Genomic DNA, 21,388 nt, shown 5'->3' on the forward strand with positions numbered 1-21,388 from the left:
TTGCTCCACTACACTCCAGGTTAGACCACAGAGCAATACACTGCCCAGAAAGAAAGAAAGAAGAGAGAAAGAAAGAAAGAGAGAAAGAGAAAAAGAGAAAGAAAAAAAGAAAGAGAAAAAAGAAAACCAATGTCAAACCATTTAAATAATATATATTTAAATATTTATAAATATTTTATCATAGATGTTCTTTAAGAAGAAAAAAACATTTATTCTTAAGGCATTTTAATAAGTACTCAAACCAATCAATCCATTTCAGTCTTCACGAGCATGAAGCTGCTATTCATGACAAAAGCCTGATTCTCGAAGCCAGGGCGTCATTTTTCACGACACAAACAAAATAATTCTTGGGCTAGCATTCCACCAAGCAATGTGACTCTGCAAATTTCTCCAAGGGAACACTTGCAGACAGCCCCTTCTACTACAGAAAAAAAAAAAAGATTCTAAATATTATATCAGGTAGAACTAACTATGAAAGATCAAAATTCAAAGACACGCAATTGCATCCTAAGTCAATATCATATGGGTTTCAGATGTTTCTATGCCAAATCAAGTGCAGTTACCCATTCATTGTTTAGCGACAAGATGCAGGATGCTTTACAATGACTCAAATGCCCCTGAATTACTCATGGAAACCTGGGATGTGCTCCAGGACGGTGTGTGCAAATTGCTATTCTCTGCTCCTGATGTTTGAAACAGAAGTTCCAACATTATCGTCATTTATTCTCTGACACATCGAAACGAGACTGAAGTATGAGACATTAGTCTGCCTTATGCAAATCTTGACATCCCATAATGGGATGCAGAGCTTAGCATCCCCCAGGCTTCTTGCCTATGTGCGGGTCTTGTAGTGTTTTATCCTGTCTGAAGCAGTTAAATCTTTTTCACTCCCCTTGATGATTTCTCCCCACAGTGATTTATTTGTGTGTGGGGAGTTGGGGGTGGGAGTGCTCATGAAAATTAGAAAAAGTGTGGAAGATAATTTACTGAGGTGCTCTTCTGCTGATGATCTGTGACTGTCTGAATTCTTGTCTCATACAAAGTGGGGCGCTCCTCTGCATTCCAGAACCATTTTAAATCAATGCATAATTTTCCTCATTTTCCAAACGAGTAAGTCCTTTGGGGAAACTAGATTAACACCCCCAGAGAAGGGGGGTCTCCATTTATCACTAAGTGGACATTAAGCAAGCAGGAGCTGTGTGAAGTTTCTTCCTTTGCCATGTTAATAGACCTGGGCTTGACAAGAAGAGAATATGTCTCTTTGGAAGAAAAGGATTTTTTTTCTAATTTCTTTGCCTCTCTGTAGTAGCCAAGAGTGCTTGTGCCTGAGACTTGCAGCTATATATTTCATTGTTTTTAATCCCCTAAATGTCTAGTAGAAATAATACTGTGTTCATCTACACTTCGAAATGAACTTTCAATGTTAATAAATGTATCAGTAACCAAATTTATCTATGTTAAGAGCACAAAGCTCTTTGTTCCCTATATTAATTAGAAATATATATTTTTAATGCCTAAGGATTTGTTGTGAATGTTTGTGACATTTTTCTCACAACTTGTAGCGCTTTCTCTATATAAATGCCCAATAATTCATACAGGGAAATTGTGCAAGCAGGAGGCCTATAAACCAGACTTGCACTAACTTGTGGAGCTAATTCCCTTACAGTCATCCAATAAGCATGTACTTAATGTAAGCACAGGGATTGCTACTGGAAATCCAAAACACTGATAAACAAATCTGGCATTGCCTCTGCCCTCTCACAGACCATATAAGAGACAGAAGGTGCATCCACTTTCAGTGAAAGAAATTCCAAAGAGGAGAGAATTTCTAACCTGAGGGCCATAAACCACTCGTGGATTCGTAGTTGAGCTCCAAGTGGCCCATGAGCCCCCATGGTATACATGCCACTTGTTTGGGCAGAGGCTTCATAAGCTTTATCGGATCCTCCCAAAATGTCAGTGACGTGGGAAAAGTGAGGAGCCGCTGCAGGAGATGTGCACACACGGCATTTTCTGCAGCCAGAAGAAGAAAGAGGTAAATGCCTGAGAGAATCTGAGGGCCTTGCAACCAGAGCTGGCAGAAGGGCAAGAGGAATGTTAGAGGCGGATGATGGGTGGATGGAGCTCTCTAGGTGCAGAAGTCAGGGTAATAGACACTGCAGGCCAATGGATGAATATAGGTTGAGACATGAAACTTCAGGGTGTGTGGTTCCTTTAGAATATAGCCATGCATTTTTGAGGAAGAAGGAGGAGAAAATGACTTTCCTTGCATGGAATCAGAGCCTGATAGGCTTTGTACCTGGAAGCTCCTTGTTAGCTTGATGACAAGGCTCTGAATTATCTCCATTGTTTCTCTTCTGTCACATAGGAATTCAGCATTAACTCTTAGGATCTTTCCTACAAAGTGCAAAGAGCCAGAGGAAGAAAATGAACAAAAACCATAGCAGCGCTTCTAGGTGCATACGTATAATGGGAAATACTCAGATATACACTGTGACGTGTTAATGGCATCCTGGTCATAATATAAACAGCTATTTGTAAGTGGCTCTCTCCTGTTGACCAAGCACATTGACGTCTCCTTTCTCCCCCTGGACCCTTGCGTCTCAGTGAGGCGGGTAAAGCAGGTGTTACCATCCCTATTTATTAATGAGCAATCTGAGACTTTGAGGGATTAAGTGATTTTCCCATAATCACAAAAACTAATCAGTCTCAAAGTCAGGAATCAAACACATCTCCTTTCTCCAAACCCTGGATTCTTTCTATTATGCCCTTCATAGTCTCTGAAAACAATAAAATTAAAATAATGATACAAGGTCTCTGTTTGAGAAAGGAATTCCCCTCTGAAGTTAAACACAAACTCATTGCCAGGAAAACATGTGGGAGGCGGACAGATAAAACTGTTTTGCCCATTGTCAATGTCCCACCAGACATCACTTTTGAAACAGAGCATGTTCTTCGTGTGCCCCCTGCCTTCTCCTCCTCTTTTTCTCCCCTTTCCTGGAAAATCCTTTCTACCCACCTGCCATAAAATACCTTCTGCAGTACCAGGGATGCACAGCACACGTGATAGACTAGGATTATTCCTCACATCCAAAACTCGTGTCTCCTCACTTTCCGTTTCTCTTTTTCTTGGCCTCTTTAAAGTTTTACTTGGGACTGAGTTCCTAATTACTGAAAAGAAATTCACACTGAAATTGTACTCACTTGCAGAGTAGCCCAGCATATTTTTTGTAGGACACATATGACTTGCTGGGGATGTGGACTTCAACCTCATAAGTGGGGTGTCAGATGCCTGCCCCAGACCCACCAGAAATTAAATGGGTGGTGGGCCCTCACCTAGCACCAGGAACCATGCTAAGAACTGTACAGACAGATGATCAGCAGTGATTCTCAATAGCGACCATGATTGGAACAGGGGAAAGACAGACAATCAAAAAGTCTTCATCGTTTGTCTCTACAGCAACTTTCTTTAAACAGGCAAAAATCCATTCCTTTCTCAATTATGTGTACGTAGAAACCGACATCGGTAACAGCAAAGTGAGAAACATGACTAAATAAAGCCAGGGCTATACTCACAGCCCCTCAATAAATATTTGTTGGGAAAATATAAAGCTCATTGCTCTCGTGACTATGCTGTTCCCGCTAGGTCATGCCACTTCATTATTCTTTGAAACCGAGGAGCAAAACCAAGCAGAAGGTTATGACTATTAAATATTTAGATCAATCTGATCAAAAAGGTACCCTATGAATTGCATGAACTGTCCTGAGAAATTACCTTAACATATTAGCTGTAAATCTGCGGCAGCTAGCATGTCAGTCAGACCAGAGATACGTATCTAGCGTAAAGAGGTTATCATTTTTTAGATTAACCAAATGCAACAAAGAAGCCTTTACAACCGGGATGCTCTATAATGCACCGTCAGTGGGGAAAGGATCTATTGCACCTGAAATTCTGAAAATAAGGCAGACTTCTCAGAAGTGGATTCTCTTTCATAACCAGTAAATATTTTTCATACTATCAACCCACTAAAGCAAGCAGCTATTGTATATTGTGTCTCTACACTGGATTGCAAATTAAACTCCCACTGGGGGCTCTAAAGAGAAATCCAGCCCTTTATCCTCTAAGCCACTCAGCAGCTCTCCTTAAGCAAGTTAATAAAGACCTTCCTGACTATCTGCATCTCATTATTGCCACATAATACAATATCCTGGGGTTTTCTTCCTTTTGTGAAGAAATGCTTAGAAGCAACATGGTGCATGGAATATTGTCCTAAAGAGAGACTGGGCAGGTGCCATGCTCTTTCTCTCCTGAAGAGTATTGGAAGAGAAAAACCTATTTCCCAATTACCTACCAGTGTTTAGGCTCCTTATGCCTGACTTCAGTCATTTTTATGATTAATCCCCAGATTAGCCTACAAAATTTCACGCCATCGAGAGTGAGCTATATTCAATATCACTTCACCCAGTGCTTCATTCCATGAATCAACACAGCCGTCCACCATGTACTCTGTGCAGAGCTTCTCAGGCCTTTACTGACTCCATCCTGGTTTCTCCTTGAAATCTTCAGTTTTCATACTTAGACCCTGTACATGGGCAATTAGTGGCCATTTGCAAATTTAATAACACATGTTAATTATGACAATAAACAATATGATTCATTTCTCTCCTCCACGCAAATGACTAAGTTCTAAACTATGCAGAGCCCAAACAAGGTCAGACATGAACTAGATCCGAGACTTGCACTGATTTACAGCAGAACACTGACTGCGAGAGACACCTGAGAATTTGTGCATTACCTGAAGTCCTAAAAGCCCAAAAAGAGCTTCTTCATACTGAAAACTCTGGCTCAAAATCAAACATAACCCTTCAAAAGAAATCTCCATTTTTAAGCAGGAAGAAGTGATATATGCACAATTGGTACATGAGGGTGTGTCCCTGAAAAATATGTATGTTTTGGATTTTGGCTTTATTATTTTCCTTTTATGTGAAAAGCTGGATAAACTGGGAAGAAGTAAGTGAAAATGAGAAGACTTAGGCAAAGCAATGAGTGAAAACTTTCACCATACAGGCCTTTCCATGTCACTAAAAAGCAAACCAAAGCTCACAGCTATGAAGTTACTTGCTGAGGCCACATCCGTTTGGTGACGTTACATTCCCTTAACTTCAGCTCTCAGGCGAGATGACGTGCTGGAGGGGGTCAGACTGGCTTTAACAGCAGGATGGAGGGGACATACAGGAGTGCAAACAACCAACTTAAAGTAGGTGGCCTCCATCGTACTTCTGCCAGTTCACAGATCCTTTCTTAAGTAAATAACCAGTGCCCAGCAGCAGATCCTATAAGGCAAAATAGCATACATTTTTAAAATTTTTTATGAGAATTTGATTGACTCTGTCTCTTGGTATTTAACTACCTTTGTATATATTACCAGTAATAAAGCCCCCTTAGTAACAAAGTCCCCTTAGATTTTTAATTGCTAAATTGCCTTTCGAGTAACTATTTCAGTCTTTAAGGAAAGAGAAGCTACGGGACCTTGATTTCGGAGATAGGAGCACACTCTTGGTGTTGTTCTAGTTCCTTCTAATCACACCCTATTTGCACCACATAAACATTAGCACAACTAGAGATCTGGTTGAATCACTTACATGTCATTCCAGACAGTAAAACTCTAATCGTGAACATTAATTTCACTGATGTAGTTGCAGCTTAGTAGGGGGTCGCCACCATTCACTTACCCAGGCTTGAAGTTATCTCTAATTTAGAGGTTAGGGACAGTGACACAGGAAAGAGGCTCTGTGCTTTATATCTGGAGATGTGGGATCATAAAAACGTCTTTTTAATCTGATGATCATTAAAACACCCGGTGATGTGGCACAGCTGCTAATCGGAATACATTTCCATTTCTGCGGGGATTGAGCATGTCTTCGGAACCCTCTGCAATAGCTTTAGAAACAAACGTTCCTTTTATCAGGTGAGAAAACTACCCTATGGCATGCCTCCGGATATGTAGTTCTTCCTAGGCTACAAAATATCAGAGGTTAACTTCAGGCAAAATGATAAAACTAGCAGTAGTATTTCCTATTACTATCTGCAGTTTGCTTCAAAATTTCAAAAAGGTTTCGGAAAAATCACTAAATACGAAGGGCACACTTCATTCATTTATTCCAAGGAATCTATTTGGTGCCAGACATTGCATGGAATTGTATGGATTTTTAAAATGAAATGTGGGCTCTCTCTTAAGCAGACCATGGCAAGGAAACTTGAAAACTCCGACGCATCCAGGGGACGAGACTCACATTTTACATAGAGATACTACTCGGGATTCACAAAACACGACGTATCCATGACGCTCGTTCAACACTGCATTTTTACTCATGGTATTCTGTTCTCTTTCATTTTAAAGTGCGTGTCATGACCCACTAAATTGATTTCTCAGCTCACAAATATGTCCTCTGAAACACTGGTCTACAGGGGAGGATTTATACGGGCAAATAGGAAACAAAATCTCCAAAGAGAAAGCATCAGAACAAGAGGAGGTTGTCCTCTTGTGTGCTAGAAGCCACTGTGTGCCTTATCCTGCACAGTAAAAGGATTTTTCAAAGGGCGTGATCAAATTATGTTTTGGAGTAACTGTATCAGAATAGCTATAGATATATAGATATAGAAAGGATAGATTTTTTTCTTGCTATTTCTATGTTCATTTACATGTGAACCTACGTACTTTAGAAATGATTAATCTGGCTGGGCGAGGTGGCTCATCTCAACACTTTGGGAAGCCAAGACCGTCCGATCACCTGAGGTCAGGAGTTTGTGATCAGCCTGGCCGACATGGTCAAACCCCATCTCTACTAAAAGCACAAAAAGTAGCCGGGCATGGTGGTGTGGGCCTGTAGTCCCAGCTACTTGGGAGGCTAAGGCAGGAGAATCACTTGAACCCTGGAGGTGGAGGTTGCAGTGAGCCGAGACTGCAGCACTGCACTCCAGCCTGGGCGACAGGGCGAGACTCTGTCTCAAAAAAAAAGTGATTAATCTGGGCTGATTAATTACTTAAGAAATTAACAGCTAGGCTAGGAGAAGGGAAACCCCACCACCGACCTGCCTGGCCACCTCATGGTGTCTTCCTGTGGTCCCTGGTGAAGTGTGAATCCACTGGAAGCTTAGGCTCAGCCTTTCTCTACTGCGTCCCAGTCATTTGTCCTTCCTGAGTGACTGGCACCTGCCCTGTGGCCCATCAGGGGAAATTGGGTCACGTGAGCACGTAAAGAATTAGTCACTCCAGCCAATCTACCACCAGAAAGAGATGCAACCGCTACGGCTATCAAAGACACGGTCCATGTAGCTCTTCCAGAATTTCGAGAAGAATTTGAATCTCCATAGATATTTTAAATTTATTTTTCAAGGCCTCCGAGCTCCTGGCTGGGAGCCAGTGAGTGTGGGCAGGTGGGCTATGCTTCAGCTGGTGTCCACAGGTGCTGCCACACTCTTATTAAAATATGGAAATGTCTTGATGCCAGCTGGTGCAGGGCTGCTGCCCTGAGCTCTCAAGGTCCCCACGTCCATCCCACCGCCTTGGGTGGCCTGGCCCGGGCCTGCCACGTTTCTCCTTGGTGAAATGTTGACACAGCAAAATGCTCAAGGTCGATGACTCATGCTCGTTCCGATGGGCCCTGGTCTGTGTCTTTTTTTGTTATTAAGTACTTTAGATGGGTAAATTGGTAATGAGTTCTGAGCAAGGGATTTGAAAAGACCTCACATCCACCACTGCTGTAATTTTTCTTTTTCTTTCTTTCTGTTTTCTTTAATTTTTGCTGTTTCTTTTTTAGCAGAGGACAGGCACCACTAGCTTACCATCCAGGCTGTAGGTGTCACCAACACGAAACACTCCCAACAGAAGAGCAGGGACGTTATCTTCTCACCTTTGCCTTCTGGGGAAAGTGAGGAGGAACCATTTCCCTCCAGGAAAACATATGTTGCTGACACCGACCGCGTACTTGGCCACACATCGTGGCTCAGGACTCCTGGATTTACGTTACCACCTGGCATTGAGGAAATGTAAAAATAACAGCAATATAAATAACCTCATGACCTATAAAAGTATGCATGAGGAATGGGGCTCTGGGCCAAGCAGGCATGTTGTTTAGGTATTGCATACTCGGCTAATTATGAAAAAAAAAAAAAAAAAAAAAAAAAAGCTACCCAAGTACAAGAAAAGGAAAGGGATTGAAGTGATTTTTTCCCCTTTATGGCAGGGACAGAATAAATGGGCAAAAAAGGATTCAGTTAGTTAAATTTAAAAGGAAATTGGCACAACTTAATTTTCTGTGCATTTTTGGGTACTGAAAACCTTATTTATACTGACAGTCATTTTTTAGCTTTACTATCAATGCATTCTTCCCTTGCTCAGCACATATGTTGTTGAAGACATCGCTCTGTTTCCTACTTCAGTTGGTGTTTTCTAGCACAAACCATCTCCTTCGACTTGGCGGGGGGGTGGGTGACAAGAGTTAGGAGTGAAGGAGGAGCAGACATTTCCATTCCTCCCCGCTTAACCTGGAGGATAAGTATCTGCGGCACTCGCTACCAGAGAAGAATGCTTAAAACATAAGTTCAAGAGGAATTTCGATCTACTCCAGGGTGGTGATTTCATAAGGGGTTATTAACAAGTAGGAAGGAATGTCGGGAGCCCAGCCCGAGACATTTAAAGTCAGTAGAGGGCCGGGCAAATCCAGTTTCTCAGCACACGCAACCTTTCCAAGGTCTGCAGTGATGTATTTTTCTGTTTCTTAAGTAATCAATGCTTATAGAAATATGACCTGTCCACATAGTGTGGGTAACAGCTGTGTCACAAGAGTAACTGCCTGGGAACCCAGTTCTCTTCCCAGATCTCCATCACCACTAGACTCAGACGCCCTCTCTTGATATATTTCTGCAAGCATTCACAAAGGGATGATAAAATCTGTTGCACGTTTTCAAAAGGCAATTAGAATTGTGCTGTTCAAAACATGCATAATTGCAGTGTGTCACCTCCATGAGTTTAACACATTTCCCCTGTAGCAGTCTCCACTCTCCTCACATCCACCCATCTCCACTGAACTCTCTCTTCTTGAGTTTCAGATTAGCCTCTGTGGTTCTTTACATCTGAAATTCGTCTTTCTGAGAGGCAATAACACAAATATTTGGATTATGCTATCATGGAAAGGAAAGAAAATTCTATCATGTAAAAGAAAAAACATATTATGTAAAAGAAAACAAATCACTTCCTAGAAGCTTATAAAGTAGGATGCAGGTCGACTTGAGAGGGGTGTCAAAGCCCTGTTTGCATTTCTTCCTCATGTGCAGTAATACAGGGTTTCAGAGAAATCTATATTTTAGAGATTTAAAAGGAGTTGCCCTGTGTAACACAAACTAGATTTGGTTTAACACAAGCTAGACGCCAATTTCAGGTCGAAGTGCTTGTATCCAAATTTAATTACGCACCATCTATGTGTATCTGCAAGCGCTGTCGAGCTGCGACTTCTAAATTTTACAAACGAGAACTTGAGAAGTGGTGGGAGCCTGCCAGGCACCTCTCTCTGCATTTGTACTTTTCCTTAATGCCAAGTAGGAAAAAACAAGCACATTCCCTTCATGCAATAGCCTTTCTGAAGAGGAATTTTCCTATAGAGTTTCAGAATGAGTTATAGCCAGTATGAGTAATGAGTTTAAAATGTATTTTCACATTTTTTATGCCTTACATAGCACTCTCAGTATTAAGTCAGCCAAACAGCTATAGTTTGTTTTTCTCCTGCGTTACTGAAACCCGGATCCCATCTCATAGGATTCTAAAATACACTCTAATCTGATCTCTAGCGCAGGTACCTAAGAGAAAAGTGGTGTTTTCAGCATCTTGTTGGGGAAACATTCCATGGCTCCTTTCTCTCCCCTGCTTCCTGGCCTTTCCCCAGCACTGACGCTGTCAGCCGCCCTGCGTGCCACACAGTCCTGCCCTCTGCCAAGGCTCCTGGCCTGCAGCCCCTCCTGCAAGCCCACATCTGCCCTCCTGCACGCCCACATCTGCCCTCCTGCACGGCAGTCACCTGGGCGTCCCCTCCTGCTACCTCCTCACACTCGAGAGTGTCTCTTCCTTGAAAATTTCTCCTTCCTGAGAGATTTTTAAGTCTCTCCTAGCTGTTTCCTTTCCAGTCCTAATAAATTCTCTTCTTCAAAAAATTGCCACTCAATTTAATCCTCAGGCCTGCGGCTGTCACTTCAAAGTCAACAAGTACAACCCCAGATGCACCCTGCTCTTCAGGTGGGAGCTGCTGCTCTGAACCACGCCCCAGCTGTGGTCCCCATCAGGTCCCAGTTCTCCCGCTCAGTGGGATTGAACTCAGCTTCCTCCTGCCTTTCCACTCCTCCTTCTGCTTCCCCAGCCTCTCCCCTGACTCTCTTTCTACTTCTAATCTCTCCTCAAGGTCCATTCAGCTGTATACTTTCTTTGCTAGATTAGTATTTACAAAAAAAAAAAAAAAAAAAAAAAAAAACCTTATTCTTCACAGCATGCCCTTGCTCAAAATACTTGCTGGAACCCAGTCCTGTGATGCTCATAGACTCCAAAGCTCTCTGCTCCCACTTCCCGGTGCGGAGGTGTGGGCAGAGCCAGCCTCCCCTCCCTCACGAGTGCAGTCAGCTCTGCCTCTGCGGCATTCCCTTCCTTTTCCCTCCCCCTCTCCACATTCCGTCCTCAACTCAAAATCCACTGCTTCTTCCTCCTGCCTACACAACAAAGGCTCACCTGGCTGCTCCAGCCCACTCTGACCTCTCCTAAGAATTCCTAGAGCATTTTGCAGAGCTCCCATCCCAGCCCCCTGGCCCTTTGCAACCTTAACACATGCCTTGAAGGCACCTTGAAGACAGTCCCCCTTAGAGCTGAGTCACCACAGAGAAGCCTGGGGAAAAGCACCCCTTAGAATGCACCCTGGATGTCCCTGTCACATGGGTTGGCATTATAAGTGTCAAAGGCTTTAACAAGTGAATAAAACCGTCAAAATTAGCTCAGCTGAGCAGGATGCGAGTCCCACAGTGATGCGTCAGATTCTTCATTCTTCTATACCCCTCAGGATAGATGTAGTCCCTTTTCTTCTTGCACTTACCCGGTCGTCATAAATTCTTGTCATCTGCCGTGCTCCATAACCCCTCTAAAATGTGAGCACTCAATGGATTGTTTCTTTCGGACGAATATTTCTTTAAGTTCTAAAGTAAATCTTAGCACCAGGTTTGGACCTTGTAGGACGTGAATACCTGTTGAATCAGTGGAGAGCTCCCTAGCTTGGGGGAGGAATATAGTTTGCTCATGGTCCACCCCTCTTCCTTTCTTCTTCATTCAGCTCTCATGTTCCCCAGAGTGGCCACTGCGCTCCAGGGCATCTCTTTGCCTTCCCAGGGCTGAACCACGTGCTGTCCGTTCTGCCAGGTTTCTTGTCACTCTTGGTTTGGAGCAAGGACTCATCTTAACTCCCATTATGCTCCCTGTCTTTCTCCAGCTCTCCCAGAATTATTCAAGGACATTTCTCTCTCCCCACTAAGAAACGTCTCTCCACTCTTGCAGAGTTTTTGCATTCTTCCTTAAGAGAAGTTCCTCTTCTCGCCTTCCATCCTACCTCCCCCTCCCTCCACAAAATCCTTCCTGTGTCTCCTCTCCCAGACACATCCCTGATGTTAACTTATTCATACCTCTCCTGTCATGGCAAACTTATAAAACAGTCTTGTTACTGTCTGAGGAGTTGGACTTTTCCCATAAAACATTTCCAAGGTGAGCCGGAGGTGACGTTGCCTTTGTAGTCTCATCCAGTGACCTCACACCTATTTCTCCTCCCGCCTGTGAATTACTCAAAGGTAAAGATTTCATCATGTAGATTATGGCTAGAGGCTCTATGCCTGAGACCCATTTTGGTTTTTGTCCAGAGATTGAAGCATATGCAATTGGGGAAAGGTGAGCTTTTTTAAAAAAATAATAATAAAGATGAAAAATGAACATTTAGAGAGTTAAGTGGACATTTATTCAAAATGAGAAAATAAATCAAAGTATACGTTTACAAAGTATTACAAATGTTAACTGTTTGTACATTGCTTGAGTCCCTCCCTCGGCCTTGGAAGAGGCCTGGGGAAGATAGGGGTGCATGGAAGCCCCTTCACGTAACTACGGGTCAACCCACTGTGCCCACTCCAGTCACCAGGATTCCAGAGTCACACTCAGCACAGCCAAAGCATGCCAACATTCATCAAATTGATTTTTATCTCCTGATATTACAGATTGTAAAGCAATGTAAAGTACAATTTTAAAAAACTATGTATGGACCTTGTGTCTTTGAATTCTCAAACCATGGGTCAGGAATCAGTTTCAAACAACCATAGGTCCTTTCTCTCATAAGTTAACAAGCTTAGGTAGAAAACAAACAGCTCCACTCCATTGCATAAAAGAAAATATTCACCTCATGCAATGAGATATTTTCCTTATCTTATAATTTTAAATAAGTAAAGATCAGCACTCAAAGGTGGATTAACACTGAAAGTGCTTCCGTAAGTTGTCAATCTTGTGTGAATGGGGAAAAATGATCATTGTGGTGCGTGGCTTTACTGTACTTATTTGCATAAAATTTTCATTTAGTAAATGTGCAAGCTATTTTACAGGTATGGAAAGTGTAGCTCCTTTCAGAAAGAGAATTTCTATAGCAACATTATTAAAACTAATTTATTGTTCATTCATCTTTTTTCTTTTTCAACAAATATTAATTGAGTGCCATCTGTGAGCCGGGCTCTATTCTAGGCACTGAAAATACAACGCACATTGTATTTGCCCACATTCCAGAGGAAGGAGACACAAAACAAACAATTGGGCTGTTCTGTGCCATGCAGTGAGAAGGACTGTGTAGAAAACTAAAGCAAGGAGTGGGGACAGGAACTGACCTGGCGAGGAAGACAGGTGCTGTTTTTCAGAAGGTCATCCAGAAGGCCTGAACACAGTGCAGCTGCCATGCCCTGCTGGACGCTGGAGAAGGAGAGAGAGGCTGGGAGGCTGACAGGGCCGGGAAGGCAAGACCGAGGCCAAGGCCTAAGGCGTGTAAGGGGGGCTGGGGCCCAAGGCCAGCAGGAGTCAGGGCATGCAAGGTCCTCTCAGCCTCAGGAAGCCTTTGGATCTTAATGTGAATCAACTCAGAAAGCAGCAGAGAGGCTGGAGTCGGGAATGACATGATCCGACTTATGTTTTAAAGCGAGGTTTCTCGGCCTCAGTACAATGGACATTCTGAGCTGGATACTATAATTCTAGGTTGGGGGACCGTCCTGTGTGTTATAGGATGTTTTGCAGCATTTCTGGCCTCTGCTCACCAGACGTCAGTAGCACACCCCATCGCCCGGTTGTGACAACTAAAAATGTCTCCAGACATTGCTGAATGTCCCCTGGGGGTCAGAAAGCACCTCCTATCAAGAGCCATGATTTAAAACAGAATCACATTGACTGGGAGTGATATTTCAGTTATATAAAAACTAGCACAAGACAACCGAATTTTTTGTATCAACATTTAGAGATTTGCTCTCGCTAGATTAAAATTCACCTTAAATGTACCTACACTGCAAACTTGTAATTAATAATCATATCTTAATGCAAAGGCCAAGACTTTATTTTTGAGTCAGATCCTGATGTGATTCAATTCTCTCGTACCTGTAAAAATAGCACCGAGCCCGAGGTCACAGAGAAATCTTGTTAATAGGCCAAAAGAAAACACTGCAGGTGTCCAAACCAACCCGTGTTTCCATGGACCCAACCACAGGATGCCACTGAACTACACAACCCCTTACTTCACTAGATACAGAGGCACAAAAATGTCTCAGACACACCTTTAAATATTATACAGGATGTACAGTATTCACTTCCTTAGTTGTTTAACTAAATTCACTGAGAGTTTCAAATATTTTCTTTTGATGTGACTTTTCTTCATTCTCAGAACCCTGCTGGCCACTGCTTGAAGGCATGAAAAGTCTTGATGACTTTGTTTGCACTGTATTATTTCTAAAATTCTCCTGAAAGCATGCATCATGTATATGCACTTTTAACAAAGACCTCTTCAGACTTAATGCCATTGTCCTCTTGATTTCTGATTGTTGTAATTCCCTCACTGCTGAAGTGCTGGGTAGTGGGAATGCTTTTGACAAGGAATGTTGTGTGCTAAGCTACCACTTTACGGGAGAACCCAACCATCCAGAGTTTCTGCATTCAATCCTCAGTGTGTTGAATCTAGAAATTAACAAGTCAGGGCACGGCTGCTTTCACGTGTTTGGATCTAACTGGGAGAAGGGTGTTTATGAGCGGAGGCTGATGCATAATTCAGTAGAATGCCGCGGCTACTACAAGCAGAGGAGAACCCCAAAGTGGGGATGTCGATACTGAAGCCGCAGCACTATTGCAGCTGCCAGAGTGCAGCTTTGCAACCTACAGTTTTCAGTTCATTACCACTGAGGCCTGGGTGGTAAACTCGTCACAGGAAAGAAGCTCCCATATCCTATCCTTTACATCAACAAATGAAACAGTGAAGGAAAACTTTACATAGAGGAGCCAAGAGTAAAAGAATGACTGTGTGGGGACTGCTGAGCCCTCTGGGCCTCAGTCTGAATCTGGCTGCCTTGCCATGAGTTGTGAAATGTTTACACAGAGATTAACTTCCCCAAGCCTCAATGATCTCATCTCGAAAATAGGTGTAATAGTGACAACTCTCCAGAATTGTCATGAGAACAGAGCTAAACCAAGCACCACATCTAGCAGGGAATTGGCACCTAATATACACCTGGGTGATGGTAACTATTGTAAGAGCAATGTGAGGAAGTATCATGCTGACCATTAGTTCTTATGCCTTACGTTAAGAAGGGCCTTTTCCCTTATTCCCATCCAGAGCCAGGCTTAAGTAGATAAATGTTTTTAAGATTTAAAAAATTAAAATTTAATTATAAATTAAGATTTAAAAAACTAAAATTTAGCAGATAATTTAAGGATTTCAGCCTAACCTGTGTGACCGTTTAAAAGCATGTCATGGTGGCCGAGCACAGTGGCTCATGTCTGAAATCCCAGCACTATGGGAGGCCAAGGAAGGCAGATCACTTGAAGTTTGAGACCAACCTGACCAACATGATGAAACCCTCACTCTCCTAAAAAATACAAAAATTAGCCGGGCATGGTGGCATGCACCTGTAATCACAGCTACTCTGGAGGCTGAGGCAGGAGAATCTCCCAGGAGGCAGAGGTTGCAGGGAGCTGAGATCGTGCCACTGCCCTCCAGCCTGGGCAACAGAGTGAGAGACTCTGCCTCAAAAAACAAAACAAAGCCCAAAAAACATGTCTTGGCTATAGTTTAACCTGCCAATTGAAAAATAGAAATACGTTTAAACTTTAATTGCAAAAATGAGAATTTTGGCTGCAATTTAAATACATCAGTTGATGAGATAGAAATCAGTTGTGAGGGAGGCCAGCCTGAAGTACTCAGACTGAGAGTCAGCAAGTGCCTTAGAGGATTCGTTTATTGCCACCAGGTGTAAGAGGACTGTGCTCATTCAAAGCCTTGGGGAAGCCCTCACTGCGCTGAGAATAAAACCTCTCAGTTCCTCTTTGGTGGTTTCCCAGGCCCTGACTCATTAGTACCTGGTTTCTTGAACATGGTGAGCTCTTTCCTGCTTTGGGGTATTTACACATGGTGTGGAGGTTGCCTTTCTAAAATCACGAGCTGAAATGCAACCTCATGGACCTCACCCACCTTGCCTGGCTGCCCACCAGTGTTTTCCACTTACTAGGTTTTCCACGTAGCTGTGAGTCCACCACGTTTAATTATCTGCTTGTGTATCTGCTTGTTTATTGCCAATCACCTTTTTGGGAGAGAAGCTCCCAGGTACCAGGCAGTGGTATTCATTATGTATCTCCCGCACTCAGTGAGTATCTGGCACATAGTAGGCACCCAATAAATAACTGAATTAAAGAGTGCAAAAATAAAATAGGTGAAAGCAACATAAAAGCAGGTGAGTACATCTTGAGCCAGTTTTAAAACAGAACCTGTTTTACTGGCATTCGGAAGCTTAACAGAAATAAAAAAAAGCCAAACTAGAGTTGACCACATTGAATAAGTATTCTTTCAGTTTCAGCCCATTCAATAATTGCTCATTGTCAAGAGCTAAAACAGTTAAGATCACCTGACTTTCACTTTTGTTGCCATTCTTGTACATGCTAACTTGACTGAAGGTCTTTGTTTTTTATGTATAATGGAGTCAGGAGCCACAGTGGCTCGCTGGATCATTTAAATTTAAACTCTTCTGCCTAGTTTTCAAAATGCCGATAGTTTTGCCTTTATTCCATCTATCCAGCGTTTCCTGCTCATAAATCTTGACCTGCTTTCCTTTCTGGGCAGAACAGGCTGTGCTCTGTGCTGTAAAGGAGAGGTCCCTGCGGGTGATCTGACCAAGGTCCTGACTGGTGGGTAGGAAGACTTGGGGTTGATGCGGGAGAGGGCTTGAGTGCACCAAAGCAAGAAAACAGGAGTCAATATGGAGAATTTGGATAAACATGCATTGCTTGTAGTGCTATTTGAGGGTATGTCTCGAGAGGCAAGAGGAGATAATGTCAAGGTAGGAGTTAAGAGGGACCAAGTCAAGACCAGCCTTGAGAGATAAGCTCTGGGGAGATGGAACCTTCCCTTCCTTCCTTCCTTCCTTCCCTCCATCCCTCCCCACTCCCTCCTTCCCTCCCTCCCTCCCACCTCCCTCCTTCCCTCCCTCCCTTTCTTTCCTTTTTTGCTTTCTTTCATTGTTTTCCTGTCTTCCTCCCTCCTTCCCTCCCTGTCTCCTTCCTACCTTCTTTCTGTAGATTGCAACCAACAGCAGTTTATCCAAAACTTTTCAGCATGGAAATGACATAATCCAATTTGTCTTTTAATGAAAAATAAAGACTGAATAATAATCAGAACATACAGGTTAAAGTTCCATTCTATCTCTTTCCAACTGCATGACTCTGAGTAACCCTAATTCCTTCTTCAGCAAAATAAGGATAACATCTCTGCCTATGGAGGTACCGGTGATTGGGATTGGGGTGGTAATACACCGTTCTGCCATATTTAAAGTATAATAAAGCAAATGATGTGTGTTGTCCCATTCAAATAATTTATTAGTCTAAATCTTTAGAAAAGCCTAACTTTAAGACAGTCAGAATCAACTGTGTCCCAACAGAAAAGAACCAAAGTCTCACGCATATCCTTGATGCTGAATCAAAAGTCTCCAATAGGTTGCAGCTTTTTTGAGGTTCCTTAGGAAGCAAGAGCCAATCCCAGGTGCACCTGTGAAGTCAGAGAAAGGGAACTTGGCAGAGGTGGTGATGGGGGGATGTCTGGCCCCTTGATGGCAGTTGTGCCTGATTTGCAAAGTCTGATTTTGTGCCTAAGGGTAATGCAGTGACCATGGGGAAACCTACCTCCATTGGACATTTTTCCAAATAGAAGCATTTGCTGTGTTTCACTTTATTAATATTACATCACTTTAAAAAGTCTTCATCAGGCCCTTCAGTGGAATTTGGACAGTGGCTTTCGTGTTCGTACCTCTCAAAACACTTAACATAGGACAAGCATTACATATTTAAGTAATTATCTTAGTGTGCAGAATGCGGAAGTCGAGTATTGAAGTTCAGTATTCCAACATGGACACTAAAAGTGTTTATAGTGATGTTGAAAATATCACTATAGTGTTTCTTATCACTCAAGTGTTTCTTATTTTTTCCAAAGCTGTAAGATTGCCTTAATTTATTTAAATGTAATCATTCAGAAAACTCCTGAAACATGAACTCATTGCTTTCTCATGACAGGCAATACTATAATGACAAGTTATTTGATCTATGACATCAAAAATTCTTTATAAATATGTTTGAATGCAACAAATTATTGTTACCACTTGACATTTTCCTTTTTGTTTGACATTGTTGTGGCAAAATTTGGTGAATATTATATAGGCTACAAATTTTATTAAAGATTATTATTATTTTAAATGTCATGAATGTTTGATTTGATGTTTTATTATTTTCTCCAAATGTTTTATTCAGTATATTCAGTACATGTTATCAGAAAATAATTATGTTTTCTAAAATTTATTTTAGGTTTTGAAACTAACATGAACATAAGTAGCCGAGATGACCCTAGTACGTCAGAAATTACTTCCGAGACTCAAGACAGAAATGCAAATAACCATGGAATTCAGTTATCTAATTCACTATCTAGTGCTATAACTGCTGAAAATGGAAATTCCATCTCAAATGGTAAGCACTTTTTAAACTCAGAAGTAAATGTACAAAAGTTTTAGGCTGTATCAACTTTCTGGGAGGAATGGATTTAAAATATGAAAATGAAGTAGGGTTAAGAACTGGAAAATAGAATATAAACCATGAAACTCCCCTGCAAGTATTATTGTCAGCATATGATTGCTTCAGTTAAAGAATTGGAATTCTATTCACTCCTTGTTGACTTTTCCGAAATTTTATGGAGTGTTAATCTAAAAGAACTGGTCCAAAATTAGTCTTATACTGAGCAGAAGAAGGCAATAGATTCTCTACCAATATTTTTAATTAAAAAATTATTCTGGAAACTAAGAAATGTGAAGGAAAATAATATTAAAGAAATGATAAGTGCCAGACTGGCTTCAGGTATTTTAAGTACATCAATGAGTGCCACATTTAGAAAGTGGCTTGATTGCAGGTACAAAAGCTGAGGATCACGCAAGTATTTTCTCTCACAAATAAAAGAAGACAAAGGCGTCTGGGAATAACTGATGGGAAGACTCAGACCAACTATTCCTGAGGGCCTCCCGCAGGGCTGGGAAAAGCATGTTTGTTTAGTCTAATTAGAGGCGTGGGAGAACCATCATGATGCTGAAATGCTGGGAAGCAGTTGAAGACCTGGGAGTGGGGTGCAAGGTGAGCCGAAGCAAGGAAGCCCACACTTGAAGCTTGGCTCATGGGGACATAAGGGTACCCACATTGTTCAGAGAAGGCAGCTAAGAAGTCAAGTTGTGCTTCTGACTGCCTTCTCAAATTACAGGGCAAGAAACTGAGTCGTGGCCCCACCAAGGCCTTGGGGTGGGGCCTTCAAGTGTTCTTCCCAAGAGTCAGAGTGAACCAGAACCAAGAACCATGTTGAGTTGCCCAGATGTAACCAGGCCTACAGGTACCTGGGAGAAACACGTGTACATTTTCCCCAAAGGGCAGTAATAGCATCCTAGGCTTCAAAACATTCATAGAAACCATTTTTCAAATGCAAAGTCCAACACAGTTAGAAATAACCAGGCATAGGAGCACACAAAATAAGATAAAAAATTAAAAGCAGAGACGGCAGCCAATTGCAATATGTCCACAGGGATTCAAAAGGTTGGAATTCAAAGACACATGCCTTAAAATAAGTATGTTTACTCAGCCCCCCACGAAATAAAACAACGAGAATTTCAGCAGAAATAGGAAACTATAAGGAAATCGTCAAATGGAAATTCTGAAATTGGAAAATGCAGTAATAAAATTGAGTACAACAGAGGATAAAGTTAAATTTAATTAGATATAGTTGTTTAAAAACAAAACAAATAAAAAATAACTGGAGAAGTGGAAGATAACTCAGAAAATCCCCAGAATGAAACAGATTGAAGCAAAAGGGAAGAATGGAAACTCCAGACAATGGTTTAGAGATATAAAGGGCAATGAGGAGGATGATTGAAGTCTTAGGGAAAGAAGAGGGAGCGCATGAGCAGAAGAAAGACTTGGTGAGAAATGTTAGAGCATCTCCCAATGCTGACGAAAGAGCACCAGGAAACAGATTTAAGTTGGCAGATTTTTATAACATTCAACATACATTCTTCACGGGATCCAGCAATCTGACTCCTCAGTATCTTCCCAAGAGAAATGACAGCAGTGTCCACACAAACACCTGTATGCAAATGCATATGGTGACATTATTCATAATCACATAAAACTGGAAATAAATTCAGTGTCTTTCAACTGATGACTGGCTTGTATTAGTGATCCATCACTGTGCAAAATATTACTCCCAAAACTTGGAGGCTTATATAAGAAATGGTTATTATTTCATAGTTTCTGTGGGCCAGGAAGCTGTGTGTGGCTTAGCAGGGTGCCTTTGGTTTAAGGTCCCCCATGAGACAGCAATCAAGCTGTCAGCCAAGACCACAGTCATCTTGAGACTTGAGTGAAGGCTGATCCATTTTCAAGGTCACTCACGTGGCTATTGGCAGGCCACAGAAGGTTCACATCCAAGTCAACTCACATGGGCAGCCTCCCAGCACAGCAGCTCTCCCCACATCCCTGAGCAAGCAATCCAAGAGAGAGCACCCCAGATGGAGGCTGCAGTCTTCACATAACCCAGTCTTGAAAATGACACCCCAGCACTCTGTCACGTTTGATTGAGTCACTAAATCCAGGCCACACTCAATGGGTGGGGAGTCCGTGAGTGCCTGGAGGTGGGCTCACCAGCATCTCACAGGCTGAACTAGCACATGGATGAAGCCTGCAATAAATAAGAGTGATCAACTATAATGAGCATCATAAAAAAAAGGGATGGCTAAAGCATTGTGTTGAGGTTAAAAAAAAAAAATCAAAAGACTAAGTGTGATCCTGCTTATGTAACATTTGGGGAAAAGCAAAGCTGGAGACAGAAAACAGCTGAGTGGTTGCTGGAGGCTGGGCGTAATGGCAGGAGATGAAGTTCAGAAGGACATGTGGTGTTATAGACAACCTGGAGTGCTCATGTCTGCAGATGCACAGATGTGTATGTCTAAAAAAGGTGAATCTCACTGTCTCTAAATTACACCATAATCAATCCAACGTTTGTAAAAATGAAACAGAAACCTTTGCAAAGCCTAAGTAGGATACATAAAACTTTCCTAGGTGTATCATAGTAAAACACCTATAAAATAAAGACCGAGAATTAATTTTAAAAGCAGTTAGAGGTAAAAATATGTACTATCTTCGAAAAGTAGCAACTGAAGTCCAAAGACAATGAAATAACATAGTTAACATGCTCAAATAAAATAACTGCCCCCCAAAAATTCCTGTAATAATGAAAGGGAGTTAAGGATATTTTTAGGAAAAAAAATAAAAATGAAAGGAATTAAACACTGACAGACTCAGAATGCTTAGAGATAAAGGAAAGAATAAAGAATAACTAAAAAGGCAGTAAAATTTGGAGGGGTAAAATAATATTTAATATTATACACTGATAAACCTACCTTGCCAGTTGTAACCTCAAAGGTAACCCCTGAAAGAATATTAGTGGGGTAGATAATATCCAAACTAGTAAAGAGAGAAAAATAAAATCATAAAAAGTCAACTCAAAAGAT

The 21,388-nt window shown here is 41.8% G+C and overlaps 1 protein-coding gene and 2 long non-coding RNA genes across 13 annotated transcripts in view, besides 7 other annotated features; 1 reads left to right on the plus strand and 2 right to left on the minus strand.

Moving 5' to 3' along the window:
- MYO16 (myosin XVI) overlaps nt 1-21,388 on the plus strand; it is a 712,290-nt gene that overhangs the window by 651,033 nt on the left and 39,869 nt on the right. For all 7 annotated transcript variants that reach the window (XM_011521062.2, XM_047430183.1, NM_015011.3 and 4 more), the window contains one exon: nt 18,153-18,311. In XM_011521062.2, coding sequence (XP_011519364.1) covers nt 18,153-18,311 — 159 coding nt within the window. The remainder of the gene's footprint in view (nt 1-18,152; nt 18,312-21,388) is intronic.
- LOC105370356 (uncharacterized) lies at nt 209-13,040 on the minus strand. 5 transcript variants are annotated; one of them, XR_001750008.2, is made up of 6 exons: nt 12,944-13,040; nt 5,106-5,334; nt 3,020-3,171; nt 2,300-2,397; nt 1,834-2,013; nt 209-421 (listed from the first exon to the last, which is right to left on the minus strand). It is a non-coding gene; the product is annotated as an uncharacterized LOC105370356 (long non-coding RNA). The 5 variants fall into 5 exon arrangements; XR_001750006.2 differs by having other exon boundaries at nt 4,353-5,334; XR_001750007.2 differs by having other exon boundaries at nt 3,034-5,334.
- Nucleotides 8,903-10,102: an enhancer, noted in NCBI's record as "P300/CBP strongly-dependent group 1 enhancer chr13:109807999-109809198 (GRCh37/hg19 assembly coordinates)". NCBI's record gives its function as "activates an origin of replication core promoter dependent on BRD2, BRD4, P300/CBP, MED14 and CDK7 cofactors, with strong dependence on P300/CBP, by STARR-seq in HCT116 cells {active_cell/tissue: HCT116}" and the evidence as "EXISTENCE:reporter gene assay evidence [ECO:0000049][PMID:35650434]".
- Nucleotides 8,903-10,610: a biological region, named in NCBI's record as "P300/CBP strongly-dependent group 1 enhancer GRCh37_chr13:109807999-109809198".
- Nucleotides 9,510-10,060: an enhancer, noted in NCBI's record as "H3K4me1 hESC enhancer chr13:109808606-109809156 (GRCh37/hg19 assembly coordinates)". NCBI's record gives its function as "activates a minimal SCP1, AML or CMV promoter by ChIP-STARR-seq in naive H9 embryonic stem cells {active_cell/tissue: H9 hESC(naive)}" and the evidence as "EXISTENCE:reporter gene assay evidence [ECO:0000049][PMID:30033119]".
- Nucleotides 10,061-10,610: an enhancer, noted in NCBI's record as "H3K4me1 hESC enhancer chr13:109809157-109809706 (GRCh37/hg19 assembly coordinates)". NCBI's record gives its function as "activates a minimal SCP1, AML or CMV promoter by ChIP-STARR-seq in naive H9 embryonic stem cells {active_cell/tissue: H9 hESC(naive)}" and the evidence as "EXISTENCE:reporter gene assay evidence [ECO:0000049][PMID:30033119]".
- Nucleotides 12,601-13,106: an enhancer, noted in NCBI's record as "H3K4me1 hESC enhancer chr13:109811697-109812202 (GRCh37/hg19 assembly coordinates)". NCBI's record gives its function as "activates a minimal SCP1, AML or CMV promoter by ChIP-STARR-seq in primed H9 embryonic stem cells {active_cell/tissue: H9 hESC(primed)}" and the evidence as "EXISTENCE:reporter gene assay evidence [ECO:0000049][PMID:30033119]".
- Nucleotides 13,107-13,612: an enhancer, noted in NCBI's record as "H3K4me1 hESC enhancer chr13:109812203-109812708 (GRCh37/hg19 assembly coordinates)". NCBI's record gives its function as "activates a minimal SCP1, AML or CMV promoter by ChIP-STARR-seq in primed H9 embryonic stem cells {active_cell/tissue: H9 hESC(primed)}" and the evidence as "EXISTENCE:reporter gene assay evidence [ECO:0000049][PMID:30033119]".
- Nucleotides 15,516-15,575: a silencer, noted in NCBI's record as "silent region_5497". NCBI's record gives its function as "represses an Ori minimal core promoter by ATAC-STARR-seq in GM12878 lymphoblastoid cells {active_cell/tissue: GM12878}" and the evidence as "EXISTENCE:reporter gene assay evidence [ECO:0000049][PMID:35858748]".
- Nucleotides 17,157-20,555, minus strand: MYO16-AS1 (MYO16 antisense RNA 1). Its single transcript, NR_047700.1, has 3 exons — nt 20,271-20,555; nt 19,888-19,962; nt 17,157-17,343 (listed from the first exon to the last, which is right to left on the minus strand). It is a non-coding gene; the product is annotated as an MYO16 antisense RNA 1 (long non-coding RNA).

Source organism: Homo sapiens, chromosome 13 (assembly GCF_000001405.40).
Source record: "Homo sapiens chromosome 13, GRCh38.p14 Primary Assembly".
Taxonomy (NCBI): Eukaryota; Metazoa; Chordata; class Mammalia; order Primates; family Hominidae; genus Homo; species Homo sapiens.